Raw genomic sequence first — 22,307 nt, 5'->3', positions numbered from 1 at the left:
AAGGAAAGGGATAGAGAGAAACCTGTACATTAAGAGACTTAATGGAAATAATAGATTTTTATAAATGGACAAGACCTTAGTCTTGGTATAGTGTCTTGGAATGCCCATCTGGATGATAAACATATAAAGAAACATAAGGAAGTATTTAACAGTCAGGATGGTGGGTTCGTCTTAGAGGGAAGGAGATGACAGTTGGGGCAGCGCAGTCAAGGACAGGGATGGCAGATGCATGTTTCTTTTTAACTTTTTTATTGTAAATTAAAGCACACACATAAAAATCTACTCAAATACATAGTTTAGTGAATTATTATAAGGCAAATAAATACCCTTGTAACTACCACCTAGGTCAAGACATAGGGCCTTGCCAGCCAGCCTAGCAGAAGGAGGACTTGCCACCATACCTTTATTCTGATGTTTCAACCCTTAGAAAACACTTGCAGCCCTCACCTTGGTCACAAAACATCAACAAATCTGGGTTATTGACCACAATCGAGGCTTCTCCATCTTCACTGTGCGGCCGATGATAGCGGCAGTGCACAGGCAAAAAGGCTTGAAAACAGTCAATGCACTGTGAATCTCGTCTGGCATAAATGAGAACTTCAGACTCCTTGGACAAATAGTTAGGGGCCTCTATATCAAAATTTTCTGAAACCATCACTGCCTGTTCAAAAAGAAAATAAATATTAATCAAGAAGAAATGAATGAGGAAGATTTTTAAAAAGTTAAAACCAGAAGACTATATACAGATACACAGCAGTGTCAAATTTGCCCCTTTTATAAGCAATTTCCATTCCCCTTCCATCCTCAATTTTAAGGAGAAAAACACAAGACCAATTTATGCTTAATAAAAGTCTGCTTACTAAAAAAAAACTGGGGAAATTATATTCTAGGGTACCAAATTTCCCCATAATAAAAATTATTCCTGTAATATTTTCTTATTAGTCTTTGCTTAGGTGACAAAATAGGTACCTAAGACAGAGAAATTTTGTGAATATAGCATTATTCAATAAGTACACAAACTGTGACAAAAGGTTAAACCTGTATTGAGTTAAAATGATTGGTATCATTCTGACAATTTCCTGTTCTTCAGAGAAGCAAGTGAGATGGCAGTGAGTAAGAGCACTGCGGTCAGGAAGTCAAAGCAAAGGTCAGCACTCTTTCTAGAGACGGTATAAACAGTTAATGGAAAAAATAGTAAATGATTGCTTAAAATAATATGGTAAAAACTATTTTATAGAAAAGTATAGTATTCTACACCAAAAGTGAAAATGTACATGTGGCAGAAATTAGACCTAAGTTATAACATGTATATTTATTTATTACACATATATCCACATATACATACATATTTATGTACACACACTCACATATATCCACATACACACACAGGCATTATATACGCGACCTATGTGTATATGTATGGATGTACACACACGCACAACTTCTCTTTAGATTGTCCATGCAAAACCCTGGTATGCATTAACTCCTTCCCATCACATCAAGCATCCTAACTTTCCTCTGACAGTGACACCAAGTGCTATGTTTTCTTTACATGTTGTTCCTTTTCAGTTAGTCACAGCAGGAACAGAACTCATTGGCAAAAGTCAAGGAATTATATCATCTCATGAGTCATGAGGGACTTTGGAAGTAATAAAATTAAACCACTGTCCCAACAAAGGTATTTTTCAGGTATACCGCCACTGCTTGAATACCTTCAGTGACTGGAAGGAAGCTCATTACTATAAGTCATCTCGATCTATCTACTGTTATAAGGTTATTTCTTTTTCATGAGTAGAAACTGTATGTACTAACCTATAACATTTACCAGTTGTTCTTGCTTACAATGTCTGCAATAAATTCGTTCCTTATTCCACTAGGGATCCTTCAATTATCAGAAGGCAACCATAGCCGCCGCCATGAAGTCTTCTCCTGACAAGGGAAATGTTCACAGTTCTCCTGGGTTCTCATGACATGGTTTCCAAATCATTCATCATATTAGCTGCATTTGAAGTACTCATAGAGTACAGGAGCAATATTACCTTCTTTAGGCAAAACTTGCATTAGTTTTTTGGCAGCCTTATCTCACTATGCTTTATATGTACTACTATTTTATTTTTTGAGACGGACTCTCACTCTGTCACCCAGGCTGGAGTGCAGTGGCACAATCAGGGTGCACTGCAGCCTCAAACTCCTGGGCTCAAGTGATTCTCCTGCCTCATCCTCCCAAAGAGCTGGGATAATAGGCATGAGCTGCCTATTCTTTTTTTTACCTAGCCTCTTATTTTCTCTTTTTAAGACAAGGTCTCACTCTGTCACCCTGGCTGGAGTGCAGTGGCATGATCATGGCTCACTGAAGTCTCAACCATCTAGGCTCAAGCAATCCTTCCACCTCAGCCTCCCAAGTAGCTGAGACTATAGACACACGCCACCATGCCTGGCTAATTTTTTGTATTTTTAGTAGAGATGATGTTAATTCTAACATCTGGGTCAATTCTGGATTGGTTTTAACTGATTGATTCACCTCCTCATTATAGGTCATTTTTCCCCCCATCCTTGCCTAGCTGCTAATTTATTATTACAGTCAAGAAATTGCTAATTTGATCTTGCTGGATATGTCTATATCCCTATACATATTCTTGAGCTTTGTTTGGGATGCAGATAAGTTACTTAGAAAAAGTTTGATATTTTTTTAAGGTTTTGTTTTTAAGATTTGTTATGCAGGACTAAAGCAATGTTCAGTTTGTGGCTAAGTATTCCCTGCTACTGAGTAAAAGTTCTCTGTTTTTCCATTGTTCAAGAAATTATAAGGCTTTTCTCAGTCTGGTTGCTGGGACGAGGTACTACTCCTGTCCCTGTGTGAGTACCAGACACTGTTACCGCTCATTTTGTCAGATGGCTCTTTCCCTGGCATCAGGTAGTTTCCTAACATATACACACTGATAAATACTCAGCTACATACTTGAAAGGAACCTTCTGTTATTTCTGCAGTTCTGCCTCTATGACGTTCTCTCCCCTCTGGTACACTGTCCCGTGAATTCTAGTTACCTTGGCCTGCCCAGCATCTCAACTTTATCTCCTCAACTCAAAAAGTCCACTAGGCTCTGCTTGAGTTTCTCCTCCCTGCATTAAGCCTGAAAATATTCTCAAGGAAATAAGCTGGATGACAGTAGGGCTCACCTTACTTACTTCCCTTCTCTCGGATATCTCTGCCCTTCATTGCCTGATATTCAATGACTTTTTTCATTATTTCATATATTTTGTCTATTTCTTGCTTGTTTCAAGTAAGAGACTAAATTTGTTACCTGTTCTCCACTTGACCAGAAGCAGAAGCCTTAATACTACATACTTTGAGTAAAACTTATGGTTTCAAAAACTGTTTCCATTTTGACCCACAAAACAGCAATTTTATACGTTTCAATCTAATATTATACTGCTTTCAAAGAATCTAAGAGACTTCTGATGAAAAAATATGTTTAATAACCCTACCTAAAAAAGTGAAATGAGGTTTATTTGATCTGCCTTATCCTTGGTGAACCTACTTAAGGCTTGCATTTATTTTCAAATTATTCACAAACCATCACAAACTCCTTACAAAGCATTTTGCTGGCACACCACTCATTTAATCTGGGCCCACAGTTCCATTTGTTGCAGCCAAAAATTTTATTTCCTGGAGCAGAGTCAAGACATTAATCCAGGTATACAAGCATCAATCAGTCCCTACATATAAATTCCTTCTACCCAGTTACACTTATTATATAATAACACTTAGCATAACAAAGTTTCTCTGTACGAGGAATTGGGCCATAATCTCAACTAGGCAGAAGGAATATGTCAGGCATCAAATTCCATATATTTAAACGTCACAAATGTAACATCTATTTTTCTAGAAGTTTCCAAAATAAAGAAGTAAATACACTTACAAGGCTTATAATTATGGATTAGAAGATTAGAAAGCAGAAAATCAAGATCAAGATAAACTTGTTAATCAATCTATAATGGCACTCTCTACCTGTACCCTTTTCTTCTAACAGTCAACCTTCAAACATCCAAATCTCATCCCCATCCAAAGATATGAATTTTTGGGTAACCCCCATCCAAAAAACTTTGATTTTCTTAGAACACGGTAAGTGATTTTATTAAGTAGATTTAAATATGATTCCAACCCATATCCTTACAAGCCAAAAACTGTGTTGAAATTTGAAATCTATTATTTTAAATTTGAATAGCCTCATTTAGAATTCATAATTCATTGAAGAAAAGAAATGAGATCCTTCTGGCCGGTGGCTCATGCCTGTAATCCCAGCACTTTGGGAGGCCAAGGTGGGCAGATAACCTGAGGTCAGGAGTTCGAGATCAGCCAGGCCAACATTGTGAAACCCCACCTCTACTAAAAATACAAAAATTAGCCAGGCATGGTGGCATGCACCTGTAATCCTAGCTACTCGGGAGGCTGAGGCAGGAGAACTTGAACCTGGGAGGCAGAGGTTTCAGTGAGCCAAGATTGTGCCACCGCACTCCAGCCTAGGCAACAGAGACTCTGTCTCAAAAAAAAAAAAAAAAACATTAAATTAAAAAAAAATGAGGTCCTTCCATAATTGTATGTGTATGTAAACTGTCATACATACACAAAAAACTGAGAACACACTTGCTGATTAGTGGTTGACACAGGCAGAATGTTATCATTGCATACCTTTTTATATCTACTCAATGAACCCATGAGAATGTAATTACTTATTCAAAAACAATTAAAATAAAATAAATGGATAAAGAAACTGGCCTAAACCACGATTAGAAATAAACTGCCATCATGAATAACTATAGATGCATCTATTTTACAGTTTTAAAAATTCGTAAGTAGATTATAATCTTATCAACTAAGACAGTGTCTCCCAAAATTTCTTAACAGAAATCACCTAGGTTACATATACCTACTGCGTACCCACAATAATTAAAAAAAAAAAAAAAAAGAAATCATCTGGGTTCTTCAAACCAGATTTTGGGGCCCAATCTAGGCCTACTGAATCAGGATTTCCCTGGAAGGCAATACTCTGTACAAAAGTGCCCCCAGGGAATTCTTACCAAAGTTGGGGAAACTTTTCTAACTACGGGGTAAGATTCAGGTCCAACAAGGGCAACAACATTACAACTAGACAATCTTGGATCCATTTTTTGGCTCTTCCAATTATCTATGTGATTTTGGATAAGTTACTTGGCCTCTTTGCGCCTCAGTTTCTTTTTTCTTTGAGACAAAGTCTCATTCTGTCACCCAGGCTGGAGTGCAATGATGCGATCTCGGCTCACTGCAACCTCCGCCTCCCAGGTTCAAGTGATTCTCCGGCCTCAGCCTCCCAAGTAGCTGGGATTACAGGCGCCCACCACCACACCTGGCTAATTTTTGTATTTTTGTAGAAACAGGGTTTCGCCATGTTGCCCAGGCTGGTTTCGAATTCCCAAGCTCAGGCAATCTGCCTGCCTTGGCCTCCCAAAGTGCTGGGATTACAAGCGTAAGACGCTGCACCCAGCCCTCAGTTTCCCTATATATAAAATGGAGATTCCACCTCCAGGGTTGTTATAAAGATTAATTTATGTAAAGGGTGCAGGACACGATCTTTCTTTTTAAAAGAAAATGAAGATATCTGGCATATAGACATCTATTAAATATTAGTTTCTTCTCCTCACATATCAAACTTACCCAGATGTTGGGGTATATGTCATTCTCATTAACAAAGTTACTGTTGAGGCACTATTTATTAATCATTAATTTTCTCAAGACATACACATACACCCAGATAATTTTCTTAGTCACTGAACTATGAACCACCTTAAAAAGCATTTAACTAGCTCAGTTTAGTTGGCTTATTCCTGACAAGAGTCACTCACTTGTCAAAGACTATGCCCAGTCTATCTCTAAAAATGTCACTTTATACACTTTAACAAAATGAAAAGAAAACCTACTATTTTTCCTTAATCCAAACTACAGCACCCCTAAATTAATTTCTCTCCCAAAAAATCCCCTAATAACTGTACCTCTGTTATGTTTCTCTCTCGTAATGAAGCCAACTCATACGGATCCACATAAAGTCCTGCAGGAATGTCCTGTTTAATTAAGAGACGGCAGGTGTGCAAGTCCTCAATGCTTTCCCCAAACTTCACTTTGATTAAAAGGTCTCTGTAAGACAAGTACATTGAAAGTAAATCTCTTCATTCAACTGTTAAATGAGATAACATAACACTGTATTCCTATTAGTGAAAACACTGTATTTCAAAATTCATTTTCCAAAAGTAGATTATAAGGTCAAATGAAATATTTATAACATGTCAGAATCATCCATTAGATCTTTCATAATTCATGTCATAAGCCACTATAGCATTATTGTAAAAATAGACAAAGATCAATGAAAAGGAATGGAATCCAATAACATTCACACAATTTTCAATAAAGGTACCAACGTAATTTAATGGGGAAAGGATAGTCTTTTCAACAAATGGCACTGAAACAACTGGATATTTACACAGAAAAAAACAGGCCAGAGGGCAGGCATGGTGCCTCATGCCTATAATCCTAGCACTTTGGAAGGCTGAGGCAGGTGGACTGCCTGAGCTCAGGAATTCGAGACCAGCCTGGGTAACACAGTGAGACCTAGTCTCTACCAAAAATACAAAATTTAGCCGGGCATGGTGGCACATGCCTGTGGTCTAGCTACTCAGGAGGCTGAGGCAGGAGAATCTTTTGAGCCTGGGAGGTGGAGGGTGCAATGAACCAAGATCATGCCCCTGTACTCCAGCCTGGGTGACAGAGCAAATCCCCATCTAAAAAAAAAGAAAAAAGAAAAAATAGGCCGGGGATGGTGGCTCATGCCTGTAATCCCAGCACATTGGGAGGCTGGGATTCAAATGATGCAGGAGGATCATTTGAAGCCAGGAGTTTGAGACCAGCCTAAGCAATATGGAGAGACCCCTGTCTCTAAAAAAATAAAAAAATTAGCCAGACATGGTGATGTGTGCCTATAGTCCCAACTACAAGGGAGGGTGTGGTAGGAGAATCTTTTGAGCCCAGGAGGTCGAGGCTGCAGTGAGCTCTGATAGCGCCATTATATTCCAGCTTGGAGGACAGAGACAAGACCCTGTCTCAAGAAAAAAAAAAGAGAGAGAGAGAGAAGATATTTTTTAAAAAACTAAATGCAACTTTAAGAGATGAAGAATATAATTTCCGAAATAAAAACTTACCCAGATGTAATTAAAAGCCATTAGATGCTGAAGAAGAAAAGATCAGTGACTTGGAGACACAGCAACAGAAACTACCCACACTGAAGCACAGAGAGGAAAAAAGACCAGGGAGAAAAAAGGAACCGCCTCCATGGCCTTTAAACAATATCAAGTAGTCTAGTATACATATATTTGGAGTTCCTAAAAAAGAGAAGAGAATGTAACAGAAAAAAAATGAAGATATAATGGCTGAACACTTTCTGAATTTCATAAAATTATAAGTCTACAAATCCAAGAAGCCAACCAACCCTAAGCAGGATAAATACAAAGAAAATCACATCAAGGCACATTATTATCCAGTCAATGGAAAACAATCTTAAAAGCTATCAATAATGATGGAGAGATTAACAAAGATAAGAATAAGCTAGAAGATAATGGAGCAACTTATTTAAATTACTAAAAGAAAAGAGGCTGTCGATCTAGAATTTTATATCCAGGAGGAAAATCCTTCAAAAATAAAGGCAAAATAAAGATTCAGACAAACACAAACTAAGAGAATTTGTCACTGCAAGAAATGACAGAAAGTAAATGATACTAGATAGAAACATAAATCTATAAGAAAGAAGAGATCAGAAATGATAAGTATGTGGGGGAATATAAAAGACTTCTTTCTCATGTTTTAATTGCTTTCAAATATGATTGCTAGACAAATTGGAGCCCTTGAGCATCACTGGTGGGAATGTAAAATGATGTGGCCACTACAGAAAACTCTATGACAATTTCTCAAAAAATTACAATAGAATTATCACATGATCCAGCAATTCCACTTCTGGGAATATGAAGCAGGCATTTAAGAGACAACCGTAAATCCTGTTCACAACGGCATTATTTGCAACAGCCAAAAGGCAGGAGCAACCAAAGTGCCCATCAACAATGAACAAATAAGCAAAATGTGGTACAAACATACAATGGAATATTACTCAGCTTTAAAAAGAAGGGAAATTCTCACATACCCTAAAACATGAAGGAACTGTGAGAACATCATGCTATGTGAAATAAGCTTCACAAACATTATATGATTCCACTTATATGAGGTACCCAGAGGAGTCAAATTCACAGAGACAAGCATGCTGGTTGCCAGGAGCTGGGAGGAGGAGGAATGAGTAGTTATTGCTCAATAGGCAAGGAGTTTCAGTTGTACAAAACGAAGAGTTCCATAAATGGATGGTGGTGATGGTAGCACAATAACGTGAATGTACTTGATGCCACTGAATTGCACACTTACAAATCGTTAAAATTAGGCCGGGCGCGGTGGCTCACGCCTGTAATCCCCACACTTCGGGAGGCCGAAGCAGGCGGATCACGAGGTCAGGAGATGGAAACTAGCCTGGCCAACATGGTGAAATCCCATCTCTACTGAAAATACGAAAATTAGCTGGGTGTGGTGGCAGGCGCCTGTAATCGGGAGGCTGAGGCAGAAGAATCACTTGAACCAGGGAATCGGAAGTTGCAGTGCGCCGAGATCGCGCCATGCACTCCAGCCTGGCAACAGAGCGAGACCCCATACCAAAAAAAAAAAAGTTAAAATTGTAAATTTTATGTTATGGGTATTTTATCACAATTAAAATAAATAATGTGAAAAGTGACTGCTTAAAGAAAAACCAGTAACAATATATTGTGGGGTTCATAACACAAGTAAAAAATAAAGTAAAATATGTGATAACAACAGCATAGAAAAGAGAAGGAGATGAAGCTATCCTGATAAAACAGTATCTGTGACATGGAATAAAATTATTTGAAGGTAGACTGTGATAGGTAACGATTGCAGGTTGTAAACCCTAAAGCAACAAATTAAAAACAGAGAGGTATAGCTAATCATCCAAAAATTGAGATAAAATAGAATGCTTAATAAGTACTCAATTTAACCTAATGCTAAATGACGAGTTAATGGGTGCAGCACACCAACATGGCACACATATACATATGTAACAAACCTGCACATTGTGCACATGTACCCTAGAACTTAAAGTATAATAATAAAAAAATAAAAAATAAATACTCAATTTACCCAAAATAAGGCAAGAAAAGAAGGAGAAGACTAGATGCAACAAAGAGAAAAACAAATAGATAAAAAAGTAGCTAGACAGATTTAAACCAGACCAACCATATTAATATTTACATTAAAAATAAACGGTCTAATCACTCCAATTAGAATGCAGAGACTGACAGATGGATAAAACAGCAACTCCTTTCACAAGGTCTTGGGATTTGGAAAGAAAAAAATTGGCCACCCTGAACTATATGCTATCTACAGGAAACACACTGAAGATAAAGACGATAAAAGTAAAAGGATAAAAAAGATATGCAAATATTAATAATAAATATGGGATGGCTATATTAATATTAGAATAAGGTGACTTCGGGACAAGGAATATTGTCAGTCATAAAGAAAGACATTACACAAAGATAAAAGGGTCAATTCATCCAATTCATCAAGAAATTATCAAGAGCATCAAGAACAATCCTAAATGTAGCACACACACACAAAAACAGAGCTTCATTGTTAAATTCTATTAAACATTAAAGGAATAAATAATACCAATGCTACACAAGCAGAAACTAGAGAAGAAAATGTTTCCCAAACTATTTTATAAGGCCAAGAATACCCAGACAGTGAAACCAGAATAAGGCATCACAACAGAGTCATGGGCCAGTAGCCTTCATGAACATACAAGTAAAAATACTAAGCAAGTTATTAGCAAAACATATCCAGATATATTTCAAGAAGATAATATCGCATGACCAAGGAGTACGTTCACTACTGGAAACATCAATGTACTTCATCATATTAAGAGAATAAAATATAAAAATTGTATGATCCTCTCAAAACAGAGGAAGAAAAGGTATCTGACAAAATTTAACACCCAATCATGAAAGAAAACTCTCAGGAAACTAGAAACTTAAGATTAAGTCCTCAACTCATAAAAAGCTATCTACAAAAAACCTAACACAAATATACTTCATGGTGAAATAACTATACCCTTCCCCCCCTTTTTTTTTTCTTCAGACGGAGTTTTGCCTCGCTCTGTTGCCAGGCTGAAGTGCGGTGGCATAATCTCGGCTCACTGCAACCTCTGCCTCCCGGGTTCAAGCGATTCTACTGCCTCAGCTTCCTGAGTAGCTGGGATTACAGGCGCCCACCACCACGCCTGGCTAATGTTTTGTATTTTTAGTAGAGATGGGGTTTCACCGTGTTTGCCACGCTGGTCTCGAACTCGTGACCTCGTGATCCGGGGTCCTCGACCTCCCAAAGTGCTGGGATTACAGGCATGAGCCACCGTGCCCAGCATAAAAAAATTAAAAAAAAATAAATGAATCAGAATTTACATATTAAGTATCTGAGAATCATTTCAAAATAATCACCTTGCGAAGCTTCAGTTTGGGCAAGTTTTCTTAAGGAACAGTTTCCACACCTTTTTACCAGACTTTTAAAGATCTTCAATATGGGCAAATATTCATCTTTTGAAGATAATTTCTTTTTTGGAAACAGCTTGGTCATTTAGAATCAACTGTAGTAAGACATAGTGATTTAGAGCAGTGTATCATAGTACTTGAGATGGCTTTGAAGTATAATAGTACTAAGCTAGAGTCAGAGCTCTATCACCCTAATTTCTACCAAATTATTTAAATTGTTTGAGCTCTACCTCCCTCATCTGAAAAATAAGAAAAAATCATCTATCTCATGCCACTGTGAAGATTAAATGGAATATTGTATATATAGGCACTAGTTGTATATATATAACAACCTCTGTATATGAGAGGGTGTGTGTAGGTTCTATACAAGTACTATGCCATTTGATATAGGGAACTTGAGCATCTGAGGACTTTGGTGTCCTCAGGGGAGGTCCAGGAGGAACCAATCCCCTCAGATACCAAGGGACAACTGTACGTGGTAAACAATACATACTTGTTTTCTTCTTTGCTCCACTCAGTTAATCATTATTTCAAAGTGTGAACCACATATGCCATCACTGAGTAACTTTGAGGAAGCAAGTGATTTTTCTTTTTTCTTTTTTTGAGACAGAGTCTCACTCTGTTGCCCAGGCTGGAGTGCAGTGGCATGATCTCGGCTCACCACAATCTCCACCTCCCGGGTTCAAGTGATTCTCCTGCCTCAGCCTCTGAAGTAGCTGGGACTATAGGTGTGTGTACCATCATGCCCAACTAATTTTTGTATTTTTAGTAGAGACAGCGTTTCACTATGTTGGCCAGGCTGGTATCAAACTCCTGACCTTGTGATCCGCCTGCCTCGGCCTCCCAAAGTGTTGGGATTACAGATGAGAGCCACCGCATCTGGCCTGATTTTTCAATTTATACAAATTTCAACCATCAATTTTTTGCTCTCAATTATATGACACATTATTTTAATAGAAATAGAAATCAACAGGCAACTTACCTGTGGAAACCATCTTTCAAAACTTCTTGCCTCAAAATAATTTCAGAACACATGGCCCTTATGCCTATAAGAACCAAACGATTTTTTTTTAAAAACAAAAGCACTGAATAAAATAATATTTAAATAATTATAAAAGAGTTATTTTAGTAGGCTTTACTTGCCTAGAAAATCTAACCAACCTAAAAACAAAACCTTTTAAAATTTAAGCAATTTGAAATATATATATAAATCTACTTCCAATATAGCACTGTGGTTAAGAACAGTGACTCTGGAGTTAGATTGCCTGATTTCAAATCCCAGTCTGTAACTTAACAGCTGTGTTAACTTTGGGCAAGATAGTTTATCTCTCTACTAGCTGTCGTAAGAATTTAATGTAAGTAGAAGCACTTAGAACAGTAGTAAGAATACATATTAAGTGTTCTATGTAAGTGTTTTTTATTAATATTACTTTATTCAGGTGATCCCAAGATACCAAAAAGGAACAGGATGGCTAAAGAGCCAGGAAATCTCCATTTTAATCCTTGTTCACTGAAACTGTGTATCAGATAGATACATACTGGCAACTTCTATATTCTAACATCCATGCCTACAAAACCAGGAAAATGGTACATTTATGCCTTGTGGAGATGCTGGAAGGTTTAAAAAAAAAACAAAAAGCAAAGCTGGAGGCACGTAAAGGTTCAACGGGTTCCACTGTAAACTTAGAATAAGCACAAATCTCAGTATACTGACTTCATCCAGATTCCAGACACTCAAGCTGTTACTCTGAGCCAGGTGTGCCAGCTCGCACTTGAGGTGGGAGGATTGCTTGAACCCAGGGGATGGGGGCTTCAGTGAGCTATGATTATACCACTGCACTCAAGCCTGGGTGACAGAGAGAGACCTTGTCTCTAAACACAAAAAAAGAAAACTATTACTCAATGTAAGCATCTTAAAACTGAAAATTCAGTTACTATTGACCAGCAACTCTGCCAGGCATTTGCTATGGAACTTTGTCCCATTTCAAAAGCTGTAAATCTGTGGGAAGAACATTTAAAAAACACACACAAGCCTGGACAACATAGCAAGACTCCATCTCCATTAAGAAAAATACAAAAATTAGCTACTTAGGAGGCTGAGGTGGGAGCATGGCTTGAGGCCAGGAGGCAGAGGGAGGCTGCAGTGAGCAGAGACTGCACCACTGCACTCCAGCCTGGGTGACAAAGCCAGACCTTGTCTCAAAACAAACAAACAAACCCCAAACACATACAGAAAACTATATATTATTTACATAATCCTGTTATTATCATTGAATATTGCTGAATCCATTAGATGTATTTCTGAAAAGATGCATTAAGAAAAATGATGTGAAGGTGAAACTATTTGAAGGAATGAAAAAAGAATAGAAAAAAATAACTGGTTAAATAATATCTAACATGCTAGATCCTCTACTTGGTGCTTTCATATGTGTTTTAACTTTCACGATCTATAGCAAAATAAGCAAAATCACTGCCATTTGTTTGCAGGAGGAAACTTGAACTTCTAAAGCATTAGTAAATGGCCCTGGGTCATACAACTAACTACGTGACCGATTAGAAGAAAGGTTTGCCTGATTTTTAAAGCCTAAGATACTTCCACTTTCAACACTAAAATTGAATGAAATTTTAGTGTTACAGCTCTTCGAGAATTTGTCTAGTTACATTTCACTGAAAAATCTCCAGCCCTCAAAAAAGAAATTGTATTTGCTTTGGAGAAGCATATGATCTTTTCCTGAATAAACAAATCCCCAAATTCCATATGTATCTTGTACCAATCCAGATTTTTATTTGTTCTTTTTTTATTTTTATTTATTTATTTATTTATTTTTTGAGACGGAGTCTCACTCTGTTGCCAGGCTGCACTGCAGTTGCACGATCTTGGCTCACTGCAACCTCTGCCTCCCAGGTTCAAGCAATTCTCCTGCCTCAGCCTCCAGAGTAGCTGGGACTACAGGCACGCGCCACTACGCCCGGCTAATTCTTGTATTTTTAGTAGAGATGGAGTTTCACCACGTTGGCCAGGCTGGTCTCGATCTCCTGACCTGGTGATCTGCCCACCCTGGCCTTCCAAAATGCTGGGATTACAGGCATGGGCCACAGCGCCCAGCCGAGCAAGGCTCTGCCTCTTAAAAAAAAGAACAAATAGCCTGGGTGCAGTGACTCATGCCTGTAATCCCAGCACTTTGGGAGGGGGAGGCAGGCAGATCACAAGGTCAACAGTTTAAGACCAACCTGGCCAACATGGTGAAACCCCGTCTTTACTAAAATACAAAAAATTAGCCGGGCGTCGTGGTGTGCACCTGTAGTTCCCGCTACTTGGGAGGCTGAGGCAGGAGAATCGCTTGAACCTGGGAGGTGAAGGTTGCAATAAGCCGAGATTGCGCCACTGCACTAGCCTGGCAAGAGAGCAAGACTCCGTCTCAAAAAAAAAAAAAAAAAAAGAGACAGGGCCTTACTCTGTCACACAAGCTGGAATGCAGTGGCATGATCACAGCTCACTGCAGCCTTGAACTTCTGAGCTCAAGCAATCCTCCCACATCGGCCTCCCAAGTAGCTAGGATTATAGGCCCACGCCACCACACCTGGCTACTTTTAAATTTTTTTGCAGAGACAGGGTCTTGCTATGTTTTCCAGGCTGGTCTTGAACTCTTGGCCTCAAGCAATCCTTCCACCTCAGCCTCCCAATGTGTTAGAATTTCAGGTGTGAGCCACTGTGCCCAGCACAAATCCAGATCTTTCTTCATCCTGTTTAATTTTAATGGGGGTAGGGTGGGAAGTGAGGACTGCTATCCAACTATAAATTAAATTAGAAGAAAAATTATGAACAGGCTTAAATTCTACTGGTATGTACACCAGACAGCAGTTGATCATTGGGACCGGAGAAAGGCTAATTTACAAATAGTACAGCAAATACTAGAATGTCATGATTTTAAAGGCAAAAGTACCATTTTTAAAACGAATTTGTTGAATGTGAATTTACCTTCAACATTTTTCCTCTTAACTATTACTTTGGTAGTGGTGAACTGGCTCTGGAAATTGACTTCTTTTTCCTTTTTTTTTTTTTTTTTGAGACAGAGTCTCCCTCTGTCACCCAGGCTGGAGTGCAATGGCGCGATCTCGGCTCACTGCAACCTCCGCCTCCCTAGTTCAAGCGATTCTCCTGCCTTAGCCCCCTGAGTAGCTGGGACTACAGGGGCACGCCATCACGCCCCGCTAATTTTGACCCCTTTTCAATTATAAAATGCTAACGTTGGAAGCCTCTACAGATTACCAAATCCAACTGTTTAAAAATTCTTCTGGCCGAGCATGGTAGTTCACACCTGTAATCCTGGCACTTTGGGAGGCTGAGGAGGGTGGACCACCTGAGGTCAGGAGTTCAAGACCAGCTTGACCAATACGGCGAAACCCCGTCTCTACTAAAAATACAAAAAATTAGCTGGGCATGGTGGCGGGCACCTGTAATAATCCCAGCTACTTGGGAGGCTGAAGCAGAAGAATTGCTTGAACTTGGGAAAGGCGGAGGTTGCAGTGAGCCGAGATCGCGCCATTGCACTCCAGCCTGGCAACAGAGTGAGACTCCATCTCAAAAAAAAAATCTTCTTGGCCTCATAATCCTTTGTTTAGATAAACTTGAAAACCCAATATGTAAACACACAAGCAGAACTGCACTGATTGACAGATACTAAACGGATCTAAATGATACCAAGGATGACAGAAACATCCTCATTTTACAGATGGAGAAACTTGTAGGGTTTGTGCTTTCCTCCCATCAAACCTTACCCTTTATTGTAATTATTCCCGCACTTGCCCGTCTCAGTAGTACAAGCAGTTTGCCAACTACTACTTGCACGAACAACTAGCAGTTTGCCACGGAGTCCTACATTCAGTTTGGGGATTCTCAGGCCTCACAGGGCGCTAAGGCCTTGCCTGGCCCCTTGGTGATCAGAAGCTTCGTGCAGCTCAAGAGCATCCCAAGACGCTTGACGGCTGACTTTCCTTCTCAGAACTTTAGTAACAGGGCGGCCAGTCCAGCCTGGGAACCGCAGGGCCCGAGCCCGACTCTCCCGGAGACCCGGGATCCGCCGCAGAGCAAAGCGCACGGGAGGGAAGGAGGGCACACGGCTCTAGTGTCTGACCTCCTCCGGCTCGCCCTACTGATCTAGGTCCCGCGCCGGGTCCCCACATCCCCGCAACCCGCCGAGAGGCCCGGGAGCCGGGACCGCTCCCACGCTCTGGCCCCCCAAGCCCCGCCCCCCTTACCGGCGTCAGAGCGCGCGGCGGTGAAGGCCGCGGCGGGCCCGCGCGTGAGCCCGGTCGCCGCCCCGAGGAGCAGCCAGGCGGCCGCCCGAACCGCCGCCACCCGAGCCGCCAGGACGCCGGAAGCCGGACGCCCGAGAGGGGCGCGCGGGGCCAGGTGCGGACGCAGGAAGGGGCCTGGCCGCCCGCAGCTCCTACCGCGCGCTGCCCCAGATTTATCGGCTGGGACCGAGTGCTGGGTGCGCGCGCCTAGCGCCCGCGGTTCCCAGCTGCCTGCAGCCCCGGCCCCCAAGGGTTCCCGCGCGGCGTGGGGCGGTCGTCCCCGCCCAGCTGTTCCTTGCTCCGCCCACCCGGGGGCGGGCGAGGAGCTGCGCACGCGCGGGGACGCGCGCCCGGCCTGTCGCTGTGGAAACCGCTAGGCCAGCGCTCGCCGGGACCTGGAATCCCTGTACGCCGAGGTGGGAGCCGGTGGACCGGTCCCCCAGCCGGCCCCCACCTCCGCTTCCCGGTGTTTGAGGGTTCGGGCCTCCCGCCGGGGAGTTCACCCCTCGGGCTCGTCAGTAGGGCTGTGGCTGTCGCCTCTTCCTGCAGCGCCAGGCTCCGCCCGGTCTCACAGTCGGCTTAGGGGCTTTGCGTGCACTGCGGTTGGGTGGAAAAACCCACTCCTGGTTGTTTAGACGTTGGCCTGCAGACGATGTCATTTCTGTATTCCTCTAAGGGTAAGAAAGCCAGCCTTGCACTAGTGGAGACGTGAGTAGGGAGAGAATCGTCTACTCTTTGGGGACATTCGTACCCTTAGGTGCTGTGGGGCTTCCTAACAAGATTGTGGGCAGTTACTGATCTCTGGGGAGAGGAGTATTCGTGTCCAGGAAGAATAATTGGATAAACGTGCCGTCCTTCTTCCTAAACAGAGTGGAATCTGTAAGCAGGCCAAGAGAGCATCCAGGCGGCTTGGAGTGGAATAGAGGGCTCTAGAGCGGGTGTCTCAAAGAGGAAACAGAGTGTATGTCAAAACATACTATCCAAAACTGAAAATAGCCGGGCAGGTGGCTCACGCCTATAGCCCCAGCACTTTGGGCGAATCACCTGAGGTCAGGAGTTCGAGACCAGCCTGGCCAAGATGGCGAAACCCCGTCTCTACTGAAAATACAAAGATTAGCTGGGCATGGTGGTAGGCACCTGTAATTCCAGCTACTCGGGAGGCTGAGGCACGAGAATCGCTTGAACCCAGGAGGCGGAGGTTGCAGCGAGGGGAGATCACGCCACTGCACTGCAGCCTAGGCGACAGAGGGAGACTCTGTTTCAAAAGAAAAAAAAAAACTGAAAATGGTAGTATAAGCATGTTTCTTAAGAAATGGAGAGAGAAATTTTGGAAGATATGCCTTTTAAAATTCAGTCTGGCTCCCTATGAAGAGGAGTAGGGCCAAGGACGATAGTTTGTTGTTATAAGCCTCATAGAATTATTTTATATTCCAAATACAAACATTACTTTAGCAAAAATTAAAGTTAAATTTTAAAAAGAGTCTAGTAAAAAAAAAACTACATTATTTGAGTACCAACTGCATACATCTTTGACGAGTACAGCCATTGCTTCAGTGTGTGGAGTTTATATGTGCCCCGTAGGTTGTAGTTTACTAACATCAAATTTTAGTTAGGTGAATTGGGAATAGTATTCGTTAAAAAAAAAAAAAAAGCAAGAAAAGAGAAGGAAAAGAAGGAGAAATGGTGTGAGCTCATTGCATCAGATTAGAGGTAGAGCACAGTAATTTTTTAAAGTAGTTTTTTTTTTTTTTTTTTTTTTTTTTAAGAATAGGCGTATCATGCTTTGGAGAGGCTGTTGTGCAGTGGCACCATCTCAACTCACTGCAGCCCCAAACTCCTGGGTTCAGGCGATTCTCCCACCTTGGCCTTTGGTGTGGCTGGGACTACAGGTGCATGCTGCCATGCCTGGCCAATTTTTAAATTTTTTGTAGAGACATGCATGGTCTCGCTGTGTTGCCCAGGCTGGTCTCAAACTCCTGGCCTCAAGGTATCTCCTCTCCTTGGCCTCCCAAAGTGTTGGGATTACAGGCCTGAGCCACCACACCTGCCTCCATCTTTTTGAGATGGAGTCTTGCTCTTGTCACCCATGCTGGAGTGCAGTGGTACCATCTCAGCTCACTGCAACCTCCGCCTCCCAGGTTCAAGTGATTCTCCTGCCTTGGCCTCTCGAGTAGCTGGGATTACAGGCACCTGCCACTATGTCCAGCTAATTTTTGTATTTTTAGTACAGACGTGGTTTTCACCATGTTGGCCAGGCTGGTCTCGAACTCCTGACCTCAAATGATCTGCCCACCTTGACCTCCCAAAGTGCTGGCTGGGGTGAGCCACTGTGCCTGGGCTTATATGTGATTAATTTTCTAAGAGTAAAAATTCTCATGCCCAACAATAAGTGGTGAATAATATGATTATAGTACATCCATAAAATAAAACATTTAGCAGTCATATAAAATGTTACATTGTAGTAAAACATTTGATGACAAAATAATAATATATGTTGTTAAATTTGAACGTCAGGAAATAGCTTGTATGATAAGGTATGTATGAAACATACTATAAACTATATGCCTAGAAAAAAGACTGGACACAATCAAGGGTGATTATTTTCTATAGGTTTCCCCTCTCCTTTGCCCCCAGTATTCTACAATGACGTGTATAATCACTGCTAAGTATTTAATAAAAAGTATGTTCCTAATAGTGATTCTCCAGCAGAACTGAGTTCACGAAGATATCATCACCCTATGCCACTTTACCTCAATGTTTCTTGACATTTACAAATCTTTCTGGGAATGTCACAGTCACATCAAAAGCAGTGCTTAGGGTTAAGTGTATTCTTTGGGCACTGAGGGTGGGGAAAGGAAGAGAGAATAGTAAGTATTCATCTACAAATAGCTGTTTCTTGTAGCTAGAAAATTATCATATAGTGAGACACACAGGCCAAAATAAAAGCCCTGCAGACATTACTGACTATTGTATATGAAGAAGCTGAGATATGTGATGTATATGATGTAGCTGCAGACGTTACTGACGTGTATATGAAGAAGCTGATTCTGCAGCAGGTCTGCTTTTTGATCAGGCTTCTAGACTGTAAATGCTTTCAAAAATGTACAGGGACCATCATGTTAATTCATAGCATTAAACAATGTATGGAATGCCCACTACGTTCCAGGTATTATGCTGAGATATTGTGGTGGAAAATGAATATGCCCCCCACCCTCATGGAGCATATTGACTAGAAGGGAAGATAGATGATTAAATAAATAATGACAAAAAACTCTAGTAAAATAATTGGGAAAGTACAAAGGAGACAGTTCTGGATTGGTGAACCTCTCAGGACAAAATGATTAAGGTTAAAAAACTTACCTTATCATAGTACCTTGATACCGAGGATGCTCGATATGCCCTTTCTTAATTGATAAATAGTAAAGACCCTATAGGTCAGCTATTGGGCTGACTTAGGGGTTCATATTCGATCTTCAGTAAGAGTGCAGTACACTAAGAGGTTCAAACTGGATTGCATCCCCAGATTCACATATGAACAAGTCTATATCCTTGAAAAAACCAGATCTTAGGGATCCAACAGGTTGAAACTAACCCAGGGCCAAGCTGAACTTTCAGGGCAGTTCTCAAAATAACTGAGCTTTGTGGTCGTTCCCGCGCACATACCCCACAATTGGAATGATACAGAGAGGATCAGCATGGCCCCTGCGCAAGGATGACACACAAATTCATGAAGCAGTCCGTATTTTAATTTTAAAAAAAATGAGTTTCACAGGCTGAGCGTGTGTGGCCAGAGCCGGACTAGAACCAGATCTTCTGGGGCAAAGGGGCGAGGGGAATGAATGACATTTATCCAACACCTAGTTGTTTTTTCCCTTTAGCAGGAAGTCATTATGCAACTTACACATATTCATCAGATTTCCTCTGACTTACCCGGACATGTACATGGGAATGATGTGCACTGCCAAGAAATGTGGGATTAGGTTTCAGCCTCCAGCTATTATCTTAATCTATGAGAGTGAAATCAAGGGGAAAATTCGCCAGCGCATTATGCCAGTTCGAAACTTTTCAAAGTTTTCAGGTACCTCATGTCTTATCTTGCCTCCTGTCTTAAATATTCTCTAAATACAGGTTCACATCATGACTCTGTCAGGGACTGGATGTGTGACACTGGATGAATTACTTACTCTCAGTGAGCTTCAGTTTCCTAATCTATAAAAGGGAATTGTAGTGTTTTTTTCCAATCTGATAATTAATAATCCTTTTGGGATTGCTGCCTAGGTTAAATGATATAGCATTATTCAATAATATTAATTCCCTTCTCTCATTCCAAATGTTTTTTATTTGTAGTCTTAATATTTTATTAATACCACTACTGCTATCTAAAAGCTATAATATCACTTTTCTTCTCAGACATATTCTCCAGTTGAAAGTGTTTAATATCTCTACAAAGTGATTTTTAAGTTAAAGAAGTCAAAACTGTATCTGTCCTTCTCCCACCACACTGAAAGCTCAATATAAAGGAATGGTTCTACAAAGTAATTCATTCCAATCAAGCCATTTAGCTACTTGACTATAATGGAGATAATATTTTCAGGGTTCAGAGTTTTTGTTCTGTTTTGGCTGTTGCAGTAGTTTATGGCGTATATGATGTACGTGGTACGTATGTGGTATATAGTTTTCTTCTCTCTCCCAGATTGCACCAGAGCTGCTGAACAATTAAAGAATAATCCGCGACACAAGAGTTACCTAGAACAAGTATCCCTGAGGCAGCTAGAGAAGCTATTCAGTTTTTTACGAGGTTACTTGTCGGGGCAGAGTCTGGCAGAAACAATGGAACAAATTCAACGGGAAACAACCATTGATCCTGAGGAAGACCTGAACAAACTAGATGACAAGGAGCTTGCCAAAAGAAAGAGCATCATGGATGAACTTTTTGAGAAAAATCAGAAGAAGAAGGATGATCCAAATTTTGTTTATGACATTGAGGTTGAATTTCCACAGGACGATCAACTGCAGTCCTGTGGCTGGGACACAGAGTCAGCTGATGAGTTCTGATACCAAACACTCAAAACATGCATTGGGCTAGCAGAATATCCATGTTTATTACCAGACTGGTTCTGGAAGAAGCTGTAAAGAATACTAAATATGTTGGGTTATAGGGGATTGACCATGTTACTTTTCAAAACCAGGACATTTAAAGCATCTACTATGTAGGTGCATGAGGAGTATGGGAAAAACAGAATAAAGGAATCTGCCTTTAAGGAGCTTACAATCATGCCGGGTGCGGTGGCTCACGCCTGTAATCCCAGCACTTTGGGAGGCTGAGGCGGGTGGATCACCTAAGGTCAGGAGTTCGAGACCAGCCTAGCCAACATGGTGAAACCTCGCCTCTACTAAAAATACAAAAATTAGCCAGGCGTGGTGGCGGGTGCCTGTAATCCCGGCTACTCAGGAGGCTGAGGCAGGAGATTCGCTTGAACCTGGGAGGCTGAGGTTGCAGTGAGCCGAGATCGCGCCATTGTACTCCAGCCTGGGCGATGAGCAAAACTCCATCTCAAAAAAAAAAAAAAAAAAAAGCTTACAATCTGACTGGAAGATGTCAAAACCTGTGAAAAGCTAATTAGCAGTATTAAGCAACACAAACATTAGTGCCAAATGCATGATAAAGGCTAAAGAAGGCCAGAGCATATATTACTGTAGAGTAGAATAGTAAGGGAAGACTTTGTCCTTTAGTAAAGAGATAGGAGGTGGCCTGGCCCTTGAAATAGTAGTGTTTAGGTAGATGCTTGTGTAGGATTCCTGATAAGAGCAACTGAAAAGAAGGAGAGGGGAAGTAGTAAAGGGACAAGAAACAATTTTTTTTTTGAGGAACCATAAGCAAATTATAGTTTGACAAGACAAGATTGGGGGACATATATGGTTACCAGGGAATTACCTCTTATGTGTTATATCTTTATATTATTTATCTCTGGAAAAGAGTACCCTGCAAAATTCCCTACAGCTGCAAGCAGATGTCACTTGATGGACAGAGGGGGAATTCTGCCCCTCCGGTATCGGGAAATACATACTAAAGACATTGCGAAACGCTGAACCTCTTCCCATAAATAAAAGGTTTGTTTGTAAAATGGGAAATCCACCCATAATAAATGAACAATAGGCACTGCCAGTTTAGGCCTGTTCATGAATGGATCTGCAAGACAGCATCTTCGTTTAACAACATTATCTGTGATTTGATACATTTATCCTTATTACAATATTGTTTAGTTGGTAGAAATTCTATGTTTTCTACAAGGAAATTGATGTTTATTAAATAAAACTGAAAATAATTA

General features: G+C 40.9%; 2 protein-coding genes and 1 pseudogene across 6 annotated transcripts in view, besides 3 other annotated features; 2 read left to right on the top strand and 1 right to left on the bottom strand.

The window, feature by feature from the left end:
- The window catches only part of PIGX (phosphatidylinositol glycan anchor biosynthesis class X), a 23,631-nt gene extending 7,424 nt beyond the window's left edge, over window positions 1-16,207 (bottom strand). For both annotated transcript variants that reach the window (NM_001166304.2, NM_017861.4), the window contains exons 1-4: window positions 15,940-16,207; window positions 11,663-11,726; window positions 6,028-6,169; window positions 448-661 (exon numbers count right to left, since the gene is read on the bottom strand). In NM_001166304.2, the coding sequence (NP_001159776.1) occupies window positions 448-661; window positions 6,028-6,169; window positions 11,663-11,726; window positions 15,940-16,051 (532 nt within the window). In that variant the 5' untranslated portion in view covers window positions 16,052-16,207. The remainder of the gene's footprint in view (window positions 1-447; window positions 662-6,027; window positions 6,170-11,662; window positions 11,727-15,939) is intronic.
- Window positions 15,808-16,437: a silencer, noted in NCBI's record as "silent region_15071". NCBI's record gives its function as "represses an Ori minimal core promoter by ATAC-STARR-seq in GM12878 lymphoblastoid cells {active_cell/tissue: GM12878}" and the evidence as "EXISTENCE:reporter gene assay evidence [ECO:0000049][PMID:35858748]".
- Window positions 15,808-16,584: a biological region, named in NCBI's record as "ReSE screen-validated silencer GRCh37_chr3:196438871-196439183".
- Window positions 16,272-16,584: a silencer, noted in NCBI's record as "fragment chr3:196438871-196439183 (GRCh37/hg19 assembly coordinates)". NCBI's record gives its function as "represses an EF-1alpha promoter that drives an FKBP-Casp9 reporter gene in an ReSE screen in K562 erythroleukemia cells {active_cell/tissue: K562}" and the evidence as "EXISTENCE:reporter gene assay evidence [ECO:0000049][PMID:32094911]".
- CEP19 (centrosomal protein 19) lies at window positions 16,334-22,307 on the top strand. 4 transcript variants are annotated; one of them, NM_001379470.1, is made up of 3 exons: window positions 16,334-16,394; window positions 19,857-20,056; window positions 20,672-22,307. In NM_001379470.1, exons 2-3 carry the CDS (start codon window positions 19,927-19,929, stop codon window positions 21,031-21,033), a joined length of 492 nt encoding a protein of 163 aa, NP_001366399.1. In that variant the 5' UTR covers window positions 16,334-16,394; window positions 19,857-19,926; the 3' UTR covers window positions 21,034-22,307. The 4 variants fall into 4 exon arrangements, with proteins under 4 accessions (NP_001366399.1, NP_001366398.1, NP_116287.3 ...); NM_001379469.1 differs by having other exon boundaries at window positions 16,334-16,655; window positions 19,860-20,056; NM_032898.5 differs by having other exon boundaries at window positions 16,334-16,655.
- On the top strand, window positions 19,620-19,725 carry RNU6-646P (RNA, U6 small nuclear 646, pseudogene; annotated as a pseudogene).

The sequence above is a fragment of the Homo sapiens genome, chromosome 3 (assembly GCF_000001405.40).
Source record: "Homo sapiens chromosome 3, GRCh38.p14 Primary Assembly".
Taxonomy (NCBI): Eukaryota; Metazoa; Chordata; class Mammalia; order Primates; family Hominidae; genus Homo; species Homo sapiens.
Note: the sequence above shows the minus strand (reverse complement) of the source record. Positions and strands in the feature narration are given on the sequence as shown.